Source organism: Homo sapiens, chromosome X (assembly GCF_000001405.40).
Source record: "Homo sapiens chromosome X, GRCh38.p14 Primary Assembly".
Taxonomy (NCBI): domain Eukaryota; kingdom Metazoa; phylum Chordata; class Mammalia; order Primates; family Hominidae; genus Homo; species Homo sapiens.
The window spans coordinates 39,195,616-39,220,102 of record NC_000023.11 but is presented as its reverse complement, the minus strand read 5'-3'; the positions used below and the strand labels follow the sequence as shown (position 1 = coordinate 39,220,102).

General features: G+C 42.6%; 1 long non-coding RNA gene across 2 annotated transcripts in view; it reads left to right on the top strand.

Moving 5' to 3' along the window:
• Nucleotides 1-24,487, top strand: part of LOC105373175 (uncharacterized) — a 111,327-nt gene that overhangs the window by 79,684 nt on the left and 7,156 nt on the right. Inside the window, exon 3 of one of the 2 annotated variants that reach the window (XR_007068216.1) lies at nt 5,973-6,313. The exons of the other annotated variant lie outside the window; for it this stretch is intronic. This is a non-coding gene — a long non-coding RNA (uncharacterized LOC105373175). Of the gene's footprint in view, nt 1-5,972; nt 6,314-24,487 lie in introns of those variants that run through there. 2 annotated transcript variants of the gene reach the window in all.

Here is a 24,487-nt window from a genome sequence, read left to right as displayed (position 1 = left end):
ATCCTACCCTGGAGACTTCAGAGGGAACATGACTCTGCTAACACCTTGTTCTCAGACTTCTAGCTTCCAGAACTGTGAGCCAACATATTTCTGTTGTTTTTGGCTACCCAGTTTAGATTACTTTGTTATGACAGCCCTAGCAAACCAATACATTGATGGGGTGGCCCATTGGGCTGTCCTAAGGCAGCTGGACTGAGCAGGCTGGAAGGATGGTTACAGGGCACCACCCTGCCCTAGGTCAAGAGTGTGATCACCCAGATCAGGCTGTTGTGGACAAAATGGGGTATAGAGGACAAGAATGGAAGCTGAGGGACAGTCAGGAGGTCTCGGGAGCAGTCATGGATTCATGAGACATTTAGGAGGTAAAATGGATGGATTTTAATGATATACATGGCAGAAGATACAGGTGTCAAATGTGACCCCCAGTTTCTGACTTGAGGACCTGGTAACAGAAAAGTAAAGAGGGTTATGGGGGTTTTTTCTGCCTAATCTCACCAAATAAGTTAATTGTGTTCTCACAATTTTGGGGGCTTTCCTATCTCATTTGGTGGCCAATTTTCAAAATGAAAAAATGTTTTCTCACTAGAGAAGGCATTACTCATAGAGAATGACGAGTAGAGAAAACAAACTAGGGTCAGCTTCTTCCTCTCTCTGCAGTCTCCACCCCAACCCTATCTTGTATTTCTTAAAGGCTAGTCAAGGTGGTTGTGAAGTGGAATTCTAAGATGACCCCAATGACCCACTTCCTTGTATAATCCCCTCCCCTTGAGTGTCCTAATCAGGTGAGTCCTTTAAAGAAGATCTAGAGTTCAAAGACAGAAGAAGTCAGAGAGATATTTCTCCTGGCTTGCCTTGAAGAAGCAAGCCCTCATGAACCCTACAACTGCAAGAAACTGAATTTGGCCAATAACCACATGAGCTTGGAAGAAGATCTTGAGCCTCAGATGAGACTCTCAGCCCCAGCAAATGCTTCCATTGCAGTCTTGTGACACCCTGAGCAGAAGACCCAGCCAAACTGTATCAGAATCCTGACCCATGGAAACCATGAACTAATAAATAGTTTAAAGCCTTCGTGTTTGTGGGAATTTGTTATGCAGCAATAGATGACTAACATGGTGGTGATCTTGATTTCCCTCCGCCAAATTAAAAAATTGATTCAGCCCTTGCTATCTTCTCCCTGTCCTATTACTCCCACCCATGAAATTTGCTCGATCTGGTTGAGGTGTTCCAGTAATAATAACAGCAGATGCTGGAATGTTTGAATGAAAGCATGATTAGCAGGCAGTGGAAGCCTAATAAGGCCCCAGTGGAATTCCTTTCCTCTAGAACGAAAGTGGATTTTTGCATTCATCCAGCTTCTGCTTGCCAGTGTGGGTTTGGGTGTAGGGAAGGGGTATTGGAAGACAAATATCACAAATGAGAGAAGAGGCTGGCCATTATGGGTCCCAGTATATGAAGAAAGAAATACAGTTTACTTTTCCAAAAGGAATAACTGTTAGCTGTGGACTTTGTGGAATCTAAGAAGAAACAAGGAACCTTTTATTAAGCAACAGTGGGTCTGAGAGTCTGAGTATCACTGTGTGGGTGATGTGGTGCTCAACATCTGATGCCCGAATTTGGGTCTCTGCAAAACTGTCCTAGTGTCTTGGTCTGTTTTTCCAGAAAGCAGAGTCCAAGACAAGGACTTGAGTAGAGGTAGTTTATTTTAGAGGTGAACTTAGGAAGCAGGAGGGAAGGAGCAGAGAGTGTGAGACAGGGAAGGAGATAAAGCCAATAAAATGACACATTATCAAGGTGCTATTCAGCCAGGAGTCGGATTTTGCAGGCACTTTCGTGAAGCCAACAGAATGCTCTGTGGAATGCCCCCACTGGAGATTTTAGTGATTAGGGCATTTATTCACTGACTTCTGCCTTCATGGTGCAACAGTTACTCCCAGGAGTGAGTGCAGGTTATCTCCTGCACTTCTGGGCTATTCCTACATAAAGGCTAGACAGGTTTACAGCTTCAGAGAAAATTCTGAGGTAGAAAAGTGGAAAGACACATAGAATGGGAGAGAGATTGCATTCTCCCTCTGCAGGAACCGGTCTCTAATAGCTTCACTGAAATCAGAGATAGGCCAAGGGGACAGGACACAGGGTACAGAAAACATCTGCTACACCTGGTCAGCTACCTCTGCAGCAGTGAAGGAAATCCAGGCAGCTGAGTAGAGCTCCCTTGAGAATATACATATGCACAAAATTGCACACAAAATTCAAAATTTCGGGTGTTTCATGGAGCTCTCATTCCTAAGCTCTCATTCAGGGACCACCAAGGTTCAAAATCTCTACTCTGAAAAAAGAGTGGGATTTACTTCCAAGTTACACTGCTGGAGGGGCTATCTTAATGCCTTCAAATTCTGACAGACTTCTTTGTGGACACTGGCAGGCATCTTGCCTCTGGGAAAGTCAGACTCCACTGAAAAGGTGTTCTGACAACAGTGCATGGCCCTTCAGCACAGAGAGAGCTCTGATTGGTGCCAGAGAAACCATTTTGCCACGTTTCTTAGAGGTGGCTAGCCAGATACAACCCTAGCAAGAAACAGAATCCAGATCAAACGGTTCTGGAGACTTTAACCAAAGGCAAACTCACAGAGCTGTGGGAAGGGTTTATAGGAACCAATGGAATGTTGAGACACCCAGAGACTAGCAACCTTGGGAAGCAGGAGACATGAACAAGGGAAGAATCAGAGTTACTTGAACTCAATAGGAGCTGGAGCCATGAAGGAAGGGCCACAGAAAAGGAATGACCCAGTAGGAGTTTATATTTTTTTTCTATTGCTGCTGTAATGAACTGCCATAAATTAGTGGCTTAAAACAACACAAAATCTCTATCTTACAGTTCTGGAGTTCAAAATGAGTCTTGCAAGGCTAGAATCAAGGTAACAACAGGGTCATATGCCCTCTGGTTAGAATCAAGGTGACAGCAGGGTCACATTCCCTCTGGTGGCTCCAGAGGAGAATCCGTTTCCTTGCCTTTTCAGCTTCTAGAGATTGCCTGCATTCCCCAGCTCATGGCATCTTTTTTGCATCACTTCAACCTCTGCTTCCTTCCTCACATCTACTACTGACTCTGGTCCTCCTGATTCCCTTTTTTTTTCTCTCTTTTTTGAGACAGACTCTCCCTCTCTTGCCCAGGCTGGACTCCAGTAGCACCATCTTGGCTCACTGTAATCTCCGCCTCCTGGGTTCCAGAGATTCTCCTGCCTCAGCCTCCCGAGTAGCTGGGATTACAAGCGCCTGCCACAACATCCAACTAATTTTTGTATTTTTAGTAGAGACAGGGTTTCACCATGTTGACCAGGCTTGTCTCAAACTCTTGACCTCAAGTGATCTGCCTGCCTCGGCCTCTCAAAATGCTGGGATTAGAGGAGTGAGCCACCATTCCCGGCCCTGATTCCCTCTTATAAGCATGCTTAAGATTACACTGGGCCCACCCAGATAATTCAGAATAATCTCTCATTTTAAGATCCTTAACTTAATCATATCTGCAAAGTCTCTTTTGCCATGTAAGATAACATATTCACAGATTCCATGGATTAGCACATAAACATTTGGGAGAGGGCACTATTCTGCCCGCCACAGAGCTGTAGTTGAATGGCACAGTCCCTACCAAAAACATGGATTCAGGGAGAGACTCTTCAGATCTCCTGCCAATGCTTCCCATGATCAGAATGTAATCAGCAATCAGCTACCAAGGGAGCTAGGAGATGCTGTCCCCAGGGGTTAGAAGAGTATAAAATGGATGAGTGGGTGTTGGATTGGTGGGAAAAAGAGAGATAATAACTAGCACAGTGACTATGGTTTAGAGGGGATGAGGTTCACTCTGGAAATGCCTTTTACCTAGGTGGTTCACCTAGGTAAATAAATACCTTGGGGCATTTATCCTATCTCAGTTCCTCTCAAGGTTTCCTTGAGGAAGGCCAGTCAGAGTAATAATCCTGATTTCCTCCAGCCAAAGTCAGCAGTGGATTAAAACCCTGCAACGATTTTCCATTTATACCAAATCTTCCTGTGTTTCAGAATCCAGCTTGAGTCTCACCTTCTCTGGGAATCCATTTTTGATGGCTTCAGACCACAATAATCTATTCTTGCATTTGTTAATCCATTAATTTATTCAACCAACTTTTATTGATCATTTGCTCTTGTACCAAGCACTGTGCTAGGCACTCTGAGTACAGAGTTGAATGACACACAGTCCCTATCCCCAAGAAAACCATAATCTGATAGGAAAGAAAAGAAACATAAATAGTCCCTAGGAAAGGATAAGTGGGGGAAACAGCCCTTGGGGCAGACCCTGAAGAATCTGTCAAATTTAAACCACAAAAATGGAAGTGAAGAACTCCTCAGGTGAGGAAATGTCATATGCAAAGGTAGGTGGTTGTGAGAAGTCTTGGGGTGTTCAGAGAAAACTGAGAAGTTTAAATAAATTGGAAAACATGGAGCACTGGGTAACTTCACAAGAGATAGGTCTGAAAATGCAGGCAGAGGCCAGGTTAAGAAGGACTTTGCATGCCAGCTAGGGATTTACAGAAGCACTACAAGATTTTAAGCAGGAACCTGGAGTGATTAGATGCTCATTTTAGCAAGCTGAGGTAGGGAAACCAGGTAGGTAGAAGACTGGGTCTATTGGTTTCAAGGTGCATCCCTAGAGTCCAAGATTCCACATGACAGTAGGTTTAGGGTGGGAAGATGTACTAGGGCACCTTTACCTTTATCCACAGCAACAATTTTCATCAGTTTTACACCTTAGACTTTTGTATAAAATTTCATTTGATGGAAGTATTTTGCTCCGAAATTGGTTAGATCTCACTGTGATGGGAGAGCCTGGATGAGGGTCTTGGCTAAAGTTGCTAAGTGAGGTTGATAAGTAAGCAGGGGCCAGATATGAACCCCTCTTCTAAGGCTGCAGTGGCAAATTGGACACGGGGGAATGAAAAAGAGAAGTCAAGCATCACAGGGGTTTCTGGCCCTGGTTAGTTAAGTCTGGCTTTGTGGAAAGCTGTTTGTTTAAATCTAGCACTGGGACTCCTGTTTCCATAGGAGTAGATATTGTGAAATAAAGCCAGTGTGCATTTGGCTCACTGAAGGTTAAGGGACTTGTTGCCTCTGGGAAATGCCTTAGTGTTATGGAAATCAGATCATCATTCATTCATTCATTTACTCATTCATTCATTCAATAAGCATACTTTGAATATTCATTCATTCATTCATTCAATAAGCATACTTTGAACACTGCTAGGAGCTGGCCAGACACAGTCCCTACCCTAACAGGATTCACAGCCTGGGTTGTGGTCCATAGCAAGGGAACAAGCAGAGGAGGATGGCTGTGAGTGCCCCTGAAAGGAGCTGCGCCACAGAGAGCCTGGTTGCCAGGGGGGAGGCCACCCACCCCCCGTTGCATGGCTTTCCTAGTCCTCCCCATTCCTCCCTCTCCAACAGTGGCTGGTCTCAGCCTGACATCACAATAAAAAGGGCTGGGAAGACGCCAAGCCCTGTCTTTGCTCCAGTCAGGGAATGTGCTCACTCAGCTGGGACTCAAACCTGAGACAATTGTGGGCTTGTGGGGGAGCTTGGTGAGAAGACTCCAAAGGGTTTCTCTTTTCTTTCCTTTTACCCTTTGAGAGCCACTCTAAAAATGTTACGTTTCTACTTAATTAGAGTTCTCAAACTAGTCTGTATTTGACAAAGTAGAAAAGTGAAAGAATAAAATGCGTGGATTTTTGTTATGGTCCCAGATGGCCAATGAGAATGGCCTCAAATTTTAAAGTAATACAATCCAAATTGGGGATGCTCAATCAGATGGAAGATCCTGGGCCAAGTAAGCAGAGCTATTTAGCAAACCAGGCAAAGGTTTTTTGTAAGCTGCAGCCCAAGAGTTTTACAAAGAACCCACAAAAATTGCACAATTAAGCTGCTCCCACTCCCCTTTTCAGCATACATCTCTTCACACCATGAATGATTTGAAGCTTGCATGCTTTTGGATTGCCCTGGTGAAGATTTAGTTTCCAGCTCAAGAAAACCCATGTCAGAAAATCGTCCTTCAGCATTCTCAGAGGATAAATAAAAAAGATTGCTACTGAAAGAACCCAATTTTGTTTTTCAAAATATATGTGCAAATAGACATTGAAAAAAATATGGGCATGATATAATCAAAATGGTATAAATTGTCATGTATGGATAGAGGATAATAATGATTTCTATTTTGGGGGAGGACTTTTTAATTTTCTTGTTAGCGAACTTCTTTTGTAATAATAAAAAATGAGTTTTTAAAGAATCCCTATGAAAATCAGTTTCGTTATCTATAAAAAGGGGATAATCATGTTTCACGTAAGATACACGAGAATTTGATGACATAATATATACACTGATCTTGCCATAGACCCGAAAACATAGGAGATATCCAATAGATGGTAAATATGCTGTGGTTGCATCAATCTATGTTATGTGTTTTCAAATTACCTTGCTTTTTAAATGAAAGCACAGAATGGAAGTTTTACACAAATGTGGCAGAATAATTTATTAAGATATTAATTTTCAGTTCGATCTTGCTACTGTAGGTATTTTTCCTTCTCCTCATCCTCTCACAGGAAGACAAACCGGGCACTCCTTTGCCTCAGGGGCTTTGTGTGGAATTGTGGAAAACTACAATCCCTGCCATTAAGACACAGGATAGGAAATGCAATTCCAGCCTGTGGCTTTACAGAAACCTAAAGCCAGTGAAAGGAATTATTCAAAGGATGCATCTATGTGAGGAGTGGGGCGGGGGGGTGCCTGCGGGGGGCAACAGGGTTGGACATAAGGAATACTTGGAGTTCAAGGATTTTAAGAGAAAGAGAAATGGAAGAGAGGTAAAGATTGCTTGAGACTCTTTAAAGAAAGGGACCAGGTTCCTACAGGTGCTGCTGGTATGTTGGGGGAATCTGAGCCTTATTTCCTCGCACAGTGACTGAGTAGGATCAAGTCCTATGACAAAAGGGCTCTGGGATGGCAAGTATGATGATGTGTGTAATTCACTTTAAATGATTTTAGCATAGACCATGTGATTTTATGTATGTGATAGTTTAAGCTTCAGCTTTAGGGGCCATCAGTTGCCTATTAGAGACTTCCCACTCCAGGAGTGCTCTGCTGATATTAGACCAGAAAGGCTAACTTACAGAGGTAGTTTCTGCAAGCATGCCTTCAATGGTGTTCCAATCAACACCTGAGGCTTTCCTAATTCATATATAGTAAATATCAGAATGGGCTTTCATTGGCAAAACTAGCGACTTGTTATGTAGCAGAAGGAATGCCAGCAGTGGGCTATCTGTAGCAGATGCTCTTGGCATGCCACCTATGTTCCCTCACCCTCAGACTTTGGGGAAACTGGCCCACTGCCAAATGCCAGCAGCTACCTAGCCTGTGGGCTTTCTCTTCTCACTTTTCTGCCTGTGTGACTCACCAAAATTGCCAGGAAATTGATTCCTTTTGAGTAGTTCTCAAATGAACTTCTTCAATGACCCAGGGTTGGTACATAAATACCCCAGCTCCCTTATCCCTCTGTATTAGTCCGTTCTCATGCTGCTAATAAAGACATACCCAAGACTGGGTAATTTATAAAGGAAAGAGGTTTAATTGACTCACAGTTTTTCATGCCTGGGGAGGCCTCAGGAAACTTACAATTATGGCAGAAGGGGAAGCAAACACATCCTTCTTCACATGGCTGCAGCAAGTAGTGCCAAGCCAAAGAAGGAAAAGCCCCTTATAAAACCACCAGATCTTGTGAGAACGCACACACTATCATGAGGACAGCAGCATCGGTGTAACTGCCCCCATGATTCAATTACCTACCACCAGGTCCCTCCCATGACACATGGGAATTATGGGGACTCAGATGGAATTACTTGGAGGCTGATATGGTTTGGATCTGTGTGCCCACCCAAATCTCATGTCAAATTGTAATCCCCACTGTTGGAGGTTCGGCCTGGTGGGAGATGACTGGATCATAGGGGTGCTTTCTCATGAATGGTTTAGCATCATCCCTTTGGTGCTGTTCTTGTGATAGTGAGTGAGTTCTCACAAGATCTGGTTGCTCAAAAGTGTGTGATACCTTCCTTTTCACTCTCTCTCCTGCTCCTGCCATGTAAGATGCCTCACTCTCCCTTTGCCTTCTGCCATGATTGGAAGCTTCCTGAGGCCTCCCCAGAAACAGAAGCTGCTATGCTTCCTGTACTGCCTGCAGAACAATGAGCCAATTAAACCTCTTTTCTTTATAAATTACCCAGTCTCAAGTATTTCTTTACAGCAATGCGAGAACAGACTAACACAGAGGCATGTGCTCTACCCTGGCCCTCAGCATTTTCCCTACAGATTTAATCTCTAGTTACCTATAATGGCAACTAGCTTGACAACATTCCTTTTGGCCTTTCTTCCAAGGGCTTAATTATACACTCTCTTACTGGTGGTTTTTTCTCCTAAATGAACTACTTGCATTTAAACTCTAGCTTATGGGAGAGCTCAAATTGAGACAGGAACAGGCTATAAGAAGCTAGTAAGGCCTGTAGCCCATATTCACTGGCAGCTCTAGACTGTAGCTCTAAATGATTTTATATATGGCCTTAAATAGGAGAGGTGCAATTGCATGATTCATGAATCCTGCCTCTAGAGTTTTGAGATCGCCCTCAAATGAACCTTTCAAGCAAGATGGTGATGGTTGGAGCACCTGAAAGAACAGAGACTAACGTCTTCCTAAGGTTGTATGAACTGTTACTTTCCTTTAAACAATTAATAAATGTCCAGATAAATGATGAAATTTGTTCTAAGAGCTGCATTCTCTTGGCAGGTTATAGCAAGAGTAGCTAATGCTTCCCCATCGCAATATTTCTGATGGCTACATTTACCTACCCAAAAGAACCTCAGAACTGTTCATTTTGTCATAGATTACTTTGCAACTGTATGGAAATGGGTTACTAAACCCTAAGAGCCATGGTGTTCAGAGCCTGGGCAAAAGACTGGTCCAGCTTGTCCCTAAAATCCATAATAGCCTTGAAGAGCCCATGTGGGCCTCAACAAGGAATATGTATATATCACTGAGCATTTAACACCCCCACACACCCTCAGGATCCTTCTTCAAGTGTCTGGATTGTATAAACTGCTCAAACCTTTCACACAGTCTTGAGAAAGGGGCATGAAGAATTATCAGTAGTCACTGAGATTGAATTTTCCACTGGCTCAGAGCAGATTAAGTTAAATATAGTAAAATTAAGGTACAAATCGCTTCCTGCACCCAGGTTTGTAAATTAAAACCCATACTTACACACATTGGCAACTTACTCTGTCCATGTTTTTCTACAGTTAATCAAATCTATACTGTGTCATAAATTGCTGGATTTTCTAAAATGTTCATTGATTTAAACTGCTCTCAAATCCTCTCCCACCTCCATAAACTTATTCCCTAGACCAAGTGTCTGTCGTCTCTGGATGGGACCCTGCCATACCTTCTAACTGGTTCCCCCAACCACTAGTTCTTGCAACCCTCCACTGCGTAATCTGATTTCCTCACTTAAACCAGAATGATCTTTCAAAACCCCAGCTCTGTGCATATAATATCATCCACTGTCTTCTCACTGCTATGAAGGAAAGAAGTAAATCCTATTAAGCATTTCAGGATGTGTTCCCCATTGGCCTCTCCTGGGCATCTCTATTTACTCTGCCCCCACCACCTTCCACAAACACACTGGGCCCCAAACACACTGTCTGTCTTCCATACCCAGAATGTAGCATAGACTTCCAGTTTCTGGGTTTTTGCATGAACTCATCCTCCTGTCTGAAACAATCTCACCTGCCTCACCCACACTTTTCGTCTAGTTACTCTCACTCTTCCTTCAGTTATCAGCCCATAGTCTCTTCCTCAGGAAAGCCATTCCTGGCACATCGTAGCCCCCAGGTTGGATCAGGACTCATGGTCACAGTGGGAGGGTGAAAGATGGCCCCTCGAAAGATATACTATTCCCTGGAGCATGTACCTGTTACTTTATAAGGCGAAGACTTTGCAGACAGGATTAAATTAAGGATCTTGAGATGAGGAAGTTATCTTGGATTATCCAGGCGGGCTCTACATGCAATAACAAGTGTCCTTATAAGAGAGCCAGAGGGAACTGTGATACAGACACAGAGAGAGCCATGTGAAAGTGGAGTAGAGAGATTTGAAGATGCTGGCCTTGAAGACTGGCATGATACAGCCACAAGCCAAGGAATGCCAGCAACCCCCAGAAGCAGGAAGAGGTAAGAAATTTCTCCTAGAACCTCCAGAGGGAGCATAGCCCAGTGATGTTGATTTTGGATTTGTTGACTCTAGAAATGAAAAAGAATAAATTCCTGTTGTTTCAAACCACTGAGTTTGTAGTAATCTGTTACAGCAGTCTTAGGAAACTAATACATTCACATAGCAGGCATCACAGCTTATTATTTGGTTGAAGTCTGTTCACACCCTGAGACCAAGGGTTGTTAATCTGAGATCTATAGACCACAGAATTCAGATGATCCATTAATTTGGATAAGAAAAAAATTACATATTACATATTTATTTCTACTAAATCTTACTAAAATGTATCTTTTCCTTCTATTATGTATATAGACAGCAAACCACAATAGCATTGACTGTGCTTGTGACTTTGTCACCAACAGATATCACAACTATTTTCATAATACAGTTTTTGCAAGGATCTCAACATATTATTCCCACTCATCACTACCATGAAATTCCTTAGGCTCACCACTAGATCTTGTTATTTAATACATTCATAAAGAAACACATATATTATTATATCACAATTTTTAAAAAATATTTTGGTAACTACTGCAACATCAGTAGTTTCCTTCATGAGCTTAGGCATTTTATAGATTTAAAAACATGTTTCTGAGAAAGGGTCCATAGACCTCACCAGATGTCAAAAGAGTTTGTGGCATGAACAATAGTAAGACTTCTGCACTGGACTCCATGTCCAGAAAGACGGAGACCCTGCATGTTGTGCTCACCATCACATCCTGAACATCTAGAAGTACACCCACTGCATAGTAGTGGTTTGATAAATATTTATTTGATAAATAAATGAATTAATAAATCATCAAAAATCTGTAAAGATGGGACAGAGAAAGGAAATTCAACACCAAGAACTAGTCTTTCCATCAGGAAGTCAACACATAGGGACAAAAAATCTAGAGTTCTCATTCAGAAGGCTTAATACTTCAGCCAGAGGTACAGAACAGTCTTCTTGTTTTGAAGAAATATATCCTTTTTGACTAGGCCAGTAATTTCTCATAACCCAAGAAAGAAAAAGAAACTTTAGCTTAGCCAGCCAGTGTTCTAATTATCTATTGCTGCATAACAAACCATTCCAAACTTAGTGGCATAAACAACAACCATTTTCTTATGCTCATGAATTCTGTGGGTTAGAATTTTAGACAGTGCACAGCAGGGATGACTTGTCTTTGCTCTACAATGTTTCTGTTCCATAGTGTGCCTCAGGCAGAGGGACTTAAGGGGCTGGGTGAATCTATGGCTTGGGACTGGAATCATCTGGAGGCTTCTTCACTTACATGCTTGGTGCCTGGGATGTGACGATTTAAGGCCGGGTTCTGCTGGCTTTGGTGACCAGAATACCTACATATGACCTTTCCTGGTGGCTTGGGCTTCTCTTAGCATGACAGCAGGGTTCTGAAAGGGAGTGTCCTGAGGGAGTGTCCAGGGAACAAGCATTTCAAGAGACAGAGGAATCTGCATGGCATTTGATGACCTAGCTTCAGAAGTCACATACATAGCACACTTCCACCATACTCTTGGTCAAAGCAATCACAAGTCTGTTCAGATTGAAGAGGACATGAACCAGAACCCCCCACCTCTAAATAAAAATTTAAAGCCTTTCAAAGAATTTAAAGCCTTTCAAAGAATTTAAAGCTACATTTTAAAACACTAGCACAGCCAGGTTGGGGTAAGAGGTGTCAAAGGCAAATTACCCATGTATTTGAAATCCTGTAGGAACTTCCCTTGAATGAGCTGGACCTTCAGCGAATGCAGATGAAGCTCTGGATGTTTGATATGGACTCAGTTCAGGAATGATTCATGTGATTGTTGCTGCCACATCCAGAGGATGAAATGAAAGGGAAGACAGCTGAAATATTAATCTATGGAGGCCTGTCTTTTCATGGGGTCTTATAAATTATACAAAGCGAGTCACTGGTTCTAAGTGGATTAGCTGCCCATCATGTAGGGAAGGTCATGGCCCTGTGCTCTAGTTAAGGAAGATTGTTTCCCTCCAGTTTAAATGATAATGTATCTAGAGAAACTTTGAACTCAAACACAAATAGGCAAGCTAAGCTGAAATTTCTTATCATGAGACCAAATAAATTTCCCCTTTAAAGGCAGAGCAGTAATTTCTTAAATTCCAAAGGAATGAAGTCTGAAGTGAAAAATAAACCAAAACTTTAGTTAGTTGACACTCATAGAATTTAAAGTTAACCAGCTTTCCAAATCTGTCTAAAGGTAGAAGCCTGGCTATAGTGACACCACAGTGGTCCATTCAGGTCTTTGAAAATTATTGGATAATTAGCATAATACTATTAACATAATTATAATTTTTACAATTGTGTGATTATATATTGCATTTGAAGAGTTCCTTTAAATTTTTATGGGATTCTTAACATATATTATCTCATTTGTCTTCAACATCACACCTTAATATGGGAAAGTAAGACTATCTTATAGATAAAGAAAATGAGGCACTAAGAGGTTTAACACATTGTCTTAGGTTAGCCAACAAATTATTGGCAGACCAGACCCTAGAATCAACACTCCCAGCTTAATTTCCAGTTGACCATCTAATGTTAATTGCTTCCATGGTGCCTGAGTGAACACCAGCTCCATTACTAGTGATTCTCATAATTTTTTCCTAGACATAGACTCCTAAAGATCACAGACCAATTCTTTCCTAATCAACTTGTCTCTCAATGTTCTCTAGGCATACCCTAAATCTTTTAGGGCTTGTGGCTCCTCAGAGCTGCTTTGCACTATAATAAATGGCATCCTAGAAATCTTCCTTCCAGCTGCTGAGCTTGTAAGACTAATGGTGATTTCAGATATCTCCTTGCACACTGCTGTTTGCAACTGATATTAACTTGGAGCCAATCCCCTCCTAAGTTCATAATTTAGTTAGTGGCAGCAGACGGTCATCTTACAGGTCATTTCAGTCCCTCTCTCCCTCCATGTCTAATCCATATGAGTTAGTCATGTTCATAAACAGGCTTCTCAGCCAAAAAATAAAACTACCTTCTGATTTGCAGTGTTTGCCAATTTCTGTGGTGTAAATACCTTCAACATAGCTAATTTTTAGCTAACAATATGACATCATTGAACATGAAGCTGAGAAAGAGAGGTATATAATCCATTTTTGCAAGCTGGTGCAGCCAGCACTGGCGCAGCCACTGACTCATCCCTCTTCTCCTCTAACCTTGCTGTGATTGATTTTGGATCATTCTGAATCGCTTTCCAGTAGGATTTATGCAGTATCTTTCCAGCTAGTCTGTTTCTTTCTGTTCTTGGAATCCTACCACACCTATCCTCCATTCCCCACCTACTTACTGCTCAGCAGCCAAAGGAACTTTCAAAAAACATAAATTTGACCACGTCTTCCTGCTCCTTAATGCCCAAACCTGGCCCAGTACAAATCCCTAGATTTACTGGACAGTACACAATTTCCCTCAAGGTCTAGAACAGTAGTTCTCTGTACATTGGAACCACCCGAGTATTTTATCTTTATTTTAAAACTTTATTTTGTTTATCACAGAGTTTTTGCATTAATTTTGATTTTTTAAATATTGTATTGAAACGTTACTTATCTTGACTACTGAGTTGTTTCTTTTGGTGTCCCCTTAAATTTTGTACCTGAGGCAAGTACCTCACCCGTTTCATGCCACTCCTTCCATTGCCACCTGGAGAGTTTTTCAAAATCCCTATGTCAACACAGCACTTCACGCTTATTACAGTAAAATCTCTTGGGGTCGGGGCCAGGCATCCTTATGTATAAAGCTCCCTGATACATTCTAATGAATAGCCAAATTTGAGAACCACTGGTCTTGCTTTCATGACTTCTTGGCTTAATTTCTTGCCACGTACCCCAACATTTTGAAGTCTAGCAACACCAAACTGTTTGTAAATTTTGGAATACACTATGCATTTTCATATTCCTAAGCAATTGTTGTTCTCTCTGCTCAGATATTCTTTCTTCTTTTGCTACCTATAGAAACATTATTCTTTGTCTCCCGTTTTCTCTAAAATGCTTTCCTGGGCTTCCCTCATCCCACTTTGTTAATCACTCACTGTATTACTCATCTATTGCTGTGCAACAAATTACCACAAACTTAGCAGCTTCAGGCAACACACATTTATTATCACACCGTGTCTAGGGGTAGGGGGGCAGGAATCTGGGTGTGGCTTAGCTCGATCCTTTGCTTCAGTCCTTCATGAGGCTGCTATCAAGGTGTCAGCCAGGCCTGGGGTCTCATCTGAATGCTCATCCTTCCCCCTTCCCCTCGGTTCTTCTGCCATAAGGTGGGGACTTAAGGCTGGGGTATATTGCCAGTCATTTTCCTCTTCTCTCTCAGTTCCACTCTTGCCCTTCATGCCCTGCTCTGTTTCACTCAGGATTGGAAACCTACAAAAACAGTTATCCAGGTTTATTTGTCAGTTGGCTTCCAGTCAGTTTATTCTAATGGGAAGAAGTGATGGGTACTGGGAAAGTGAGAGGGAGATAAAAAGACATTTTTCTTTTTTCTATGTCTGGTGGCATCTTTGTCAGCAGTGGGTGGCTCCAGGCTCCAGTGACTTTGGTGAGTCAGAGGGGCCTCTGGAGTTTCAGTAATGGTTCTGTTCTAGCCATGTCAAATGTTCCAGCCACATCAGTGGTGAGCAGGACCTGGACTCCAGGCCCCGAACTCTGTTGTTCCAGTATAGAGGTGTCTGTGACTTCCTGCAGTTAGTTACTAATCTCTGGGTTACCTCATGTCATAGGTTGGGTTCTCTGGAAGCTGACACCAAGATAAAGTCTGGCATGCAGGATATTTATTAAGAATTATCAAATGTGGTAAGGAGTTGGAGAAAGCAGAATTGGGCAGATGGAGAGTCAAACTGTGATGCAGTTCTGGTAAAACTTTGGAGACTCCCACAGAGATATCCGGAGTGTATAGGGCCCATCAGTAATCCAGCAGTGGGCCAAAATGGCACTCCAGGAGGGTGTGGCCTTGCGCAAGGTATTGTCTGCAGCTGAGGCAGGTCCTGAAGAGGCTGACAGCTGGAGGCTGCTTGCCCACAGCACTCCCAGCAGCTGAGACAGCAGGTTCTTCCTTGAAGGTGGTTCTGGATGGAGTGTCATGATTGCCACTATACATCTCTTCCTACTGCCCATCCAACACATTTGAAACCTGTTCTTTGTATTCAGTTTCCTCTGTTTTGAAACACCTGGAGTACTTTAGGCTGTCTTGGCTGAACATTAACTTATATGAAAGGCATAGTTCTCGCTATGAAATGAGAAGGTCATGATTCAATGGCAGTTACTCCCAGACAGCAGGAGCAAACAAAAGCTCTTGCGATGGTAGAAGGAGGAGCCTCAGAAAGAGAGAGAAGGTTGAGGGGTCAGATGTCAACATGATCACTTCCCTCATACACCCACAAGGGGTCAAATATGGGGTGGGCATCAACGGAGAGAATCACAAACACTAAGAGAGCTTTGGAGGACCAGCTATGGTCCTGCAAAGATGGTAATTTTAAATCGGAAGAAAGAACAAGAGAGGAGGGAAAAAGACCCATGCCAACTGGTCAGCCCTCTTTAAGAGCTTTCCCAGATGTTCCACTCAGAGGCTGGAAAATGTGGTTTTGATTTGGACATATTGCTTCCCCAAATAAAATAGCATTCTGTTTGTCAAGAAGAAGGAGAGAATGGGTACTTGGTAGGCAATTTGCAGCCTTTGCCACAGATGGTGATAGTGAATTGACAAATTTTGAGTATATTCTTTCTGGTCAAAACTAAAAGTTGACATACTTATGGCCACCCCCCTAATTTTAAAAAAATTGTATTGGTCTATGAAACCCAAAATCCAAACTCACTACTCTTATTCATTTTGCTATACAAGCTTGGGCTAGGATACATAATACTTTTACTAAAATTAGTAAATGTGATCAACTCATCTAGGCTGAACTGCTAATGAGAAAAGACTCCAGGACATTCACCCACCACCCAGGCAGCCTTCCCTCCTGCTTCTCTCAAGTGACCATGTTTTATCTGTGGCCTTTGGAGCCCCTTCTGAAGTCCCAGAAGGAGGCCCTTAATATTGGATGTGGCAGCGATGTTAGAAAGGAAAGTGGCACAGCACCCTAGGGCTCTCTAGACTTTGGACCCATCTCCTGCCCCTGCTTGCTCTACCCTGTGCTCCAGTCATCTAATTCCTGGCATTGATCCAGCAAGCCTTATCCCCGTGCCCTTCTTTGAGCTGGACCTACTGACAGTTATATTTCTTGTCAATCACCTATGACTATGTAGGAAAATTCCTTCTATCTCTTCAGGCCCCGCTCATATTACCTCCTCTGCAAAAGTTTCTGAGATCTCTGTAGCTGGACATAACCCCTCCACTTTGAGCACCCAGAAACCCCACTGGAGGAACTTTATTAGGACAAGTATTATGTTTAATTTGTAATACGGTTGTTTGGGTATGAGCTTGATTTCTTTAAGTCAGAATCCTTATTTTATTTATCATTGTAAGACTGGAACCTAGAATAGTACTTAGTACATAGGAGATACTTAATACATGTTTGTTGAAAGAATAGACATATAATAAATGCAGAATCAATAAATGTTATCATTAATGAATGCAGGTGAATGGATAAATGTATACTATAAGAAATGGGGAAGAAAGAAAGAAAAAAATGAAAGGAAGTAAGGAAAGAAAGAAGAGAAAGGAGAGAGAAAGAGAAAGAAAAAAGAGTGAATGAATGAATGAGTGATCCTGCAGCTCATTCTGGGTAAGCCTCCACTGGCATGGGCTTTGACAGCCTCCAGGGTGGATAACTCACAGACTCAGCAGTACTTCTACCTTCTTTTTGTCAGATTTTCCCTGACAAGAACCCTCTCTTGTCATTGCCCATTATCTTTTCTATCTCTGAGTTGCCTTGTGTCCTCTTCCCCACAGATAAAGAAGGTAATTTAACTTAGCAGGCTCAGCATGACCACTGGATAAGAGCAAGCCTCAGCTGCCTGCAACTAGAGGGCAGCTGGAATGACCACCTGAGTGCAGGTATCTCCAAGGCAGACAAAGACAGGATCAGAATCCAAGAAGGTCCAGGCAGGCTGGACCTGTCATTTAATGTGAGGAAGTCTCGAATCTTCCTGCAACTGGGGCAAATGATCAGGCCATATTTCAAGGCAAAAAGAAAGATCTACCTTGGCAAAATACAAAGACTCATATTTGTTGGATTTTACACTAAAATAGCAAAATGCTGCCAACCAAGCAACCCACTAACCAAATAAGCAAACAGATAAAGCAAAGCCAAGTAAAACAATCCCTGACACCTTAACTTGGAAAAGCAGCTTTTTGTTGTTGTTGTTGTTGTTGTTAGGGTAAACCTTATCTTTTCCAAGACTGCATTTGTTTTCAGTGGGTTTCACAGAAATGTAAGGGTAAGCTACAGCTCTCTGATCCTGATAATAATTGGAATTCTCTCTCCCTCTCTCCCACTCTGCTCCTTACCCAATCCCCTGCCTCCCTCCTCTCAAGATTTTTGCTCCATCTCTCTCTTTCTCTCTGTGCACCCCACTCCCTTCCCGTCTCTCACAACTGGGTAAGGCACTAGTGCCATTTTCCCTTTCCAAGGTGTTGTCCTTTGATCAGGAAGGAAGCAGCAATCACAGCTTCCACCAAAAAGGCCCACTTTGACAGCTATGGTGTCAGTCAGGAACTACATTTCCCTCCTGTGATATCAGACCTAGGGCTATAATCAGATTGAGTATTTGGGTACAGAAGACATTTCATTTCAAAGCATTTAACAGGCATTAACTAATCCATCCTCACTGGTGAAGGAGGTGGCTTCCCGCTACCACAAAGACGTAGCTGGATTCTCAGCTCCTTAGCACACACACTGCTTCTCTTTGTGAAAGGGGGAAAAAAGGAGAGGAAAGCAAAGCAAGAATGTGTCTGCCACGTTAAATTGGTATTCCTTGTGTAAGTTTTGTTTCCTAGAAAGGCACCTCCTTATCAGATTCCAGACCTGAGTCACACATTCTTCTAGTTCAGGCATGAAATGAGCAGAGGTAATTATTTCCACCCATTTCTCCTTCCAGCTATTAGAAATGCCAAGGGGAGGAAAGTGTTTCTACATTGAAATTAATAAAACAAAAACCAAAATCTCCACCAACACTGGAATAAGGTGGTGACATGCAAATAACACAAGGCAAGAAGCAGGCTGATTGGTGCTTCTCTCCGGATATGGTGATGTCAGTAGCAGGCTGAACTCTGAGTGGCTGAGAGAAAGCCTGAAGAGAGATTATTGAGATTAAGACTCTCAGGAGATGGTGTGTGCATGTGTGTGTGTGTAAGAGGAAGTGGGAAGGTGGGTGCATGAGACCAATATCACATGTGGGTGCGCCCCAGCCCATTATTCGAAAAGCAACTGTGTTCATCCCAACAACCTTCTGCAAGAAGACAGCACAGCCTTGGGGATAAAATTGGTTTTTCTATTTTTAAAATGTTCCGCCTTGTAAATTCTCCAGGTAGCCTTCAACTGTATAAGGCTCAAGGCCACTGAGAGCTTCTAAAGTTCAGTGTATCTGAATCTTTGCCCACAAATACATTCTTTTTTCTAAAAGTTGGGGCATCGTGGTTTGATTGTCCTCAAGATCAATACTACTGATCTTAGTGTTGGCCAGGGATCTCACAGCCCTGAGCACCTCCAGCACATGCTGGAGACCTTGACTATCTGGTCACACAATGATAGGCACCACATTTCCATGAGGACATCTGGAGATGTCACCTCTGCTTTCTCATTCCCTTAGAGTCACAGAATTTTGAAGGTAGGAGAGCCAGTAGAGCTCACCCGAGGTCCAATTGCTTATCTCATAGGTGAGGAACCTGAAGCCTAGCAAAGATTAGGGGTTTTCAAGAAGACACTCAGCTAGGCCTCAGTGCACAGCTCTCTCTAGTCTACTCCCAGTCCTCCAGCTAAGAATGTGCCAGTAAAATGCACTAAATTCCAGATTCCTTTCTTCTCAGCAAAGTCAAATAAATAGCAAGCTTCTTGAGGGCACTTCAAGAAACTTCTTGGTTACTTTGCCTGCATTTGCCATATCTTCTTCTCAAAAAAGTCCCTTCTGAGTGGACAGCCAGCTCCATAACCCCATTTGCTTCCTCTCTTAAAGGGACCATAAAAGTACAACTGACCTAAGATGTGCCTATTGATGTTCTCTTTCAGGAATTGGGAATTTGGTCACAGCAACTTAAGTAAATATCTGTTATACACAAATGGCAAAAACACATGTATCAGTCAGGGATCTCTGGAAAAACAGAACTATATATATATGTGTGTGTGTATGTATATGTATGATTTGGGGGGCTGAGAAGTCCCATGATCTGATATATATATATAGAGAGAGAGAGAGAAAGAAAGAAGGAAAGAAAGAAAGAGAAAGAAAGAAAGAGAAAGAAAGAAAGAAAAACAAGGAAAGAGAGAAAGAAAGAAAGAAGAAAGAAAGAAAGAAAGAAAGAAAGAAAGAAAGAAAGAAAGAAAGAAAGAAAGAAAGAAGAAGGAGATTTGTTATGACTCATTGGCTTATATGATTTGGAGGGCTGAGAAGTCCCATGATCTGTAATCTGCAAGTTGAATGCCCAGGAAAGCCAATGGTATAGTTCCAGTCCAAGTCCAAAAGGCTGAGAACTGGAGAACCAATGGTGTGTAAGTCTCCATCCAAGTCCGAAAGTTTGAGAACCTGGAACACCAATGTCAAAGGTCAGTAGAAGATGGATGTCCCAACTCAACAAGAGACAGCAAATTTGCTCTTCCTCTGCATTTTTGTTCTATTTTAGCCTTCAATGGATTGGATGATGCCTGCCCATATTGGCAAGGGCAGATCTTTACTTGGTCTACTGATTAAAATATTAATCTCTTCCAGAAATACCCTCTCAGACACAACCAGAAATAACTGTTTCACCAGTTACCTGGGCATACTTTAGCCCAGTCAAGTTGACATGCAAAGTTAACTGTCACAACATGTAAGATCCCCTAGGGTGTTGGATTTTTCCCATGTATAAGGAGAAATAGAAAATGTCTGTCATTGAGACAGAAGGAGGCCATCATAAAATATTTAATGGCCTCATAAACAGAGGAAGTCAGGAAAAAAGTGACTCACTACCTAGTTCTCAACAGATCTTAAGTTCTGCCTCCAGTCTTCATGAGTACTGTTGCCCTTCCTGCCCTTGATTTCTGGGAAACAACCACAAATCCTTCTAATACATGCTCCTTTCTGCTTAAGGTAGTTTGCATAGATTTCTGTTACTTGCTTATAAGTCCATGCATTTTACTCATACTTTCATTGCCAACATCTAATGCAGTGCTTTCTGTATCAATTACCTATTGCTGTATAAAAAATCACTCCAAAACTTAGCAATAAAAAACAACAAAAAATTATCTCACAGTATTGTATGATCAGAAATCTGGGTATGGCTTAGCTGGGTCCTCTGGCTCAGTGTCTCTCATGAGGCTGCAATTAAGGTATCACTGGGGCTGTAGTCTCATCTCAAGACTCGATCTGGGGAGGATGTGTTTTCTTTTTTTTATTATTATTATTACACTTTAAGTTTTAGGGTACATGTGCACAATGTGCAGGTTAGTTACATATGTATACATGTGCCATGTTGGTGTGCTGCACCCATTAACTCGTCATTTAGCATTAGGTATATCTCCTAATGCTATCCCTCCCCCCTCCCCCCACCCCACAACAGTCCCCAGAGTGTGATGTTCTCCTTCCTGTGTCCATGTGTTCTCATTGTTCAATTCCCATCTATGAGTGAGAACATGTGGTGTTTGGTTTTTTGTCCTTGCGATAGTTTACTGAGAATGATGATTTCCAATTTCATCCATGTCCCTACAAAGGACATGAGCTCATCATTTTTTATGGCTGCATAGTATTCCATGGTGTATATGTGCCACATTTTCTTAATCCAGTCTATCATTGTTGGACATTTGGGTTGGTTCCAAGTCTTTGCTATAGTGAATAGTGCCGCAATAAACATACGTGTGCATGTGTCTTTATAGCAGCATGATTTATAGTCCTCTGGGTATATACCCAGTAATGGGATGGCTGGGTCAAATGGTATTTCTAGTTCTAGATCCCTGAGGAATCGCCACACTGACTTCCACAAGGGTTGAACTAGTTTACAGTCCCACCAACAGTGTAAAAGTGTTCCTATTTCTCCACAGAGGATGTGTTTTCAAGTTCACTCACATGGACCTCTTTAGTGGGTTGTCTCATGACATGGTAGCTGGCCACCTCCAGAGCCAACAACACAACAGAGTATGAGAGAAAGCACCCAGAACCGAAGCCATGGTCTTTTTATAACCTAATCTTGCAAGAGACATCTCATCACTTCTGCCATAATCTATCCATTACAAGTGAGTCACTAGGTCCAGCCTATACTCAAAGAGGAGACTATTTCACAAGGGCAGGGATGAATACTACGAGGCAGGGATCTTGGGAACAAGACTCTTAGAGACTGCCTGCTACACCTTCCTAGCTCAGATTAATATCCAGTTATAACTTTCTGAGTGCATATTTCTCATAAGCACTCTGTATTTTGGGTGCCCTTTGGTCTCTTCCTTATGTTTCTGGAGTACTAGCTGATCGAATAGAGGATACCTAAGCCAATACCTTTCTAAGAAGTACATATAATGACTGGGGAACAAACTTCTGTCATCTAGATTACAACTTCCCTGAAAGCAGGAACTATCGTTATACTTCACAATCCTATGAACATCATGGATAGTTAATAAAGATTCTATTGTTGGCTGAATGGATTTGTATGATACAGTAAAAAGAGCTCTGACCTGAATCTCCAGCACTCAAGTTGTAGATATGGCTCAGGGTTTGACTATTTTGATGTTGGGTGAATCAGGACTTTGTAGAGCCTCAGTTTTCTCCCATTAAAACAAGGAGATTAGACCAAATATTTAAGGCATACAGTAATATGGTCTAAATAATTCCTCCTCATTTAAATTTCCTTTGGGGAAGTATATCAGACACTTCTAGAGACCTTCATCACCCCCTTGGCCCACCTCCAGTTTCAGCCTCAGCTGCAATGGGCAGACTTACCTTAAGCCAAGCGTCTGTCTTCTTTCTGCCCCTGAACCTTCATTACTTATGTGAAAGTTTGCCCAGGTCATGTGCTTGTGTAGCTCAGAAATGGGAGAAAGTTAACATCCTCAGGGACAATCCTCACCAGGGTCAGACAGTGGCTAGTGAATAAATGCCCCAACCTCCTGCCCTTCCAGTGGACAATTCTACAAGGCATTCTATATGCTTTCCTGGGAAATCAGTCCCTGTTGCCCTCCATTATATTGATATTTGTTCCTACTGTGTCTTAATCCCTTCTTTTTTCTCCATTCATTCACTTTACTTCTTCACTGGGATTACCTTTGAAATAAGCTACCTTCACCCAGGACTTTGTGTCATGCTTTGCTTTCAAAAGAACCCAAACTGAGAAGAGAAACCATTTCTTTCTCCATCCAGCCTCTGCCATGAAGGCTAAACCATGAGGAAGCTTGGATCAGGAAGACAGTATATATGGCATGAGTGAAGCTTCAACTAGACCAGAAAATCCTGCTCCTTCTAGCTCTGTCTGGATGAAAGTTTCAGAGAGGGGAGTTGTCTAATTGGAGTGAAGGAAAAGCCAATGGCAGAAGTGCAGTCATTTTACTCTCTGTCTGGGACTCCAGGAGGAGCCAGCCTAGCGCTGTGTACCCGCAGTAACCTCAAGTAGCTACTGGTGAGGCAGAGAGCAAGTCGAGTTAGCATTCCTGAGCTATCCTGGGCTCCATTTGGCACACAAAAGATGCCAGAAATGCTCAAAGGCCCCTAGGGGAACAGAGATGTTGGCAAGACACAGGCAGAAGAGCTCAAAAAAGGAAAAAATTCTAGAGTCAAGTGAGTGGATTGGGCCACCTGAATGGGAGATTGAATAGAGGTCATGACCATGTCTCAGGGGACATTCAATAGCAGCAAGGGCTGAGTACGGACTGAGTCAGCAAAGAGGAAACCACAGGTTCACTAACCACAGACTTCAGCAGTTGTCAGCGTTGTGGGACATCTGTTGTGGTGGAGACATGAAGCGCCCAGGAATTGGAATGATAACACTGATAGATCCCCTTCCTCCACCACCAGAAGGATGTAGCATGTTCCCACCCCATATCCAGGTACCATCTTGGAGAGGATCAAGTAAAGGAAAGCAAACTGGAGAGAGAGACTGCTCTGGTTTGAATATTTGTCCCCTTCAAACCTCATGCTGAAACTTGATCCTCAGTGTTGGAGGTGGCGCCTAATGGGAGGTGTTGGATGGGGGTGGATCCCTCGTGAATGGCTTGGTGCCATTCTGGAAAGAGTGAGTGAGTTCTAACTATTAATTCCCTTGAGAGCTGTTTGTTAAAAGAGCTCAGCGTCTCCTTCCTCACTCTCTTGCTTTCTGTTTCACCATGTGATCTCTGAACCCATCAGCTCCCCTTTGCCTTCCACCATGAGTGGAGGCAGCTTGAGGCTCTCACCAGATACCTGATCTTGAACTTTTCCAGACATCGGAATTGTGAGCCAAATAAAAACTTTTTGTCTTTATAAATTACCCAGTGGTAGGTATTCCTTTATAGCAACACGAAACGTACTAAGACAGGGACAATTTAAAGTCAAGGAGACTGAATTTCCAAAAGAGAGTTTAAATTATTGCAGTGGACCAGGTTTACCAGATCAGAACCAAGTTTTGTACCTACTTCCAGTTCTGTGGGGTCCACTTTGTGTGTGTGAGTGCATGACTATCTGCTTTAGAAAATTTTCTTGACCATGTGATTGGAGTGTGGAGAAATATTTAAACTCCTCCTGGGTGCTGGTTGGACAGAGAGTAGGAGGGGCTCAACCACAGATAGAGGGTCTCTCAGCTGGAGCAGCTTTCCATGCTCAAGCCAAGCTCATTTGGACTGTAAATGCTACATCAGCTGCAGATCCACCTCCAAATGTCTGGTTTTACCTAGGAGGCAGAAGTCAGGGGTCTTAACACACTCAGCAAGAACTGTGGAGGGAGGATGGGAGTAGGGAGGATGGCAGCATCTGCCCCTTTCATCTCCTTGGGCAGTCTCGATTTCCCTGCCCCCATCTCAGAATATCAAGGCTCTCTGCGT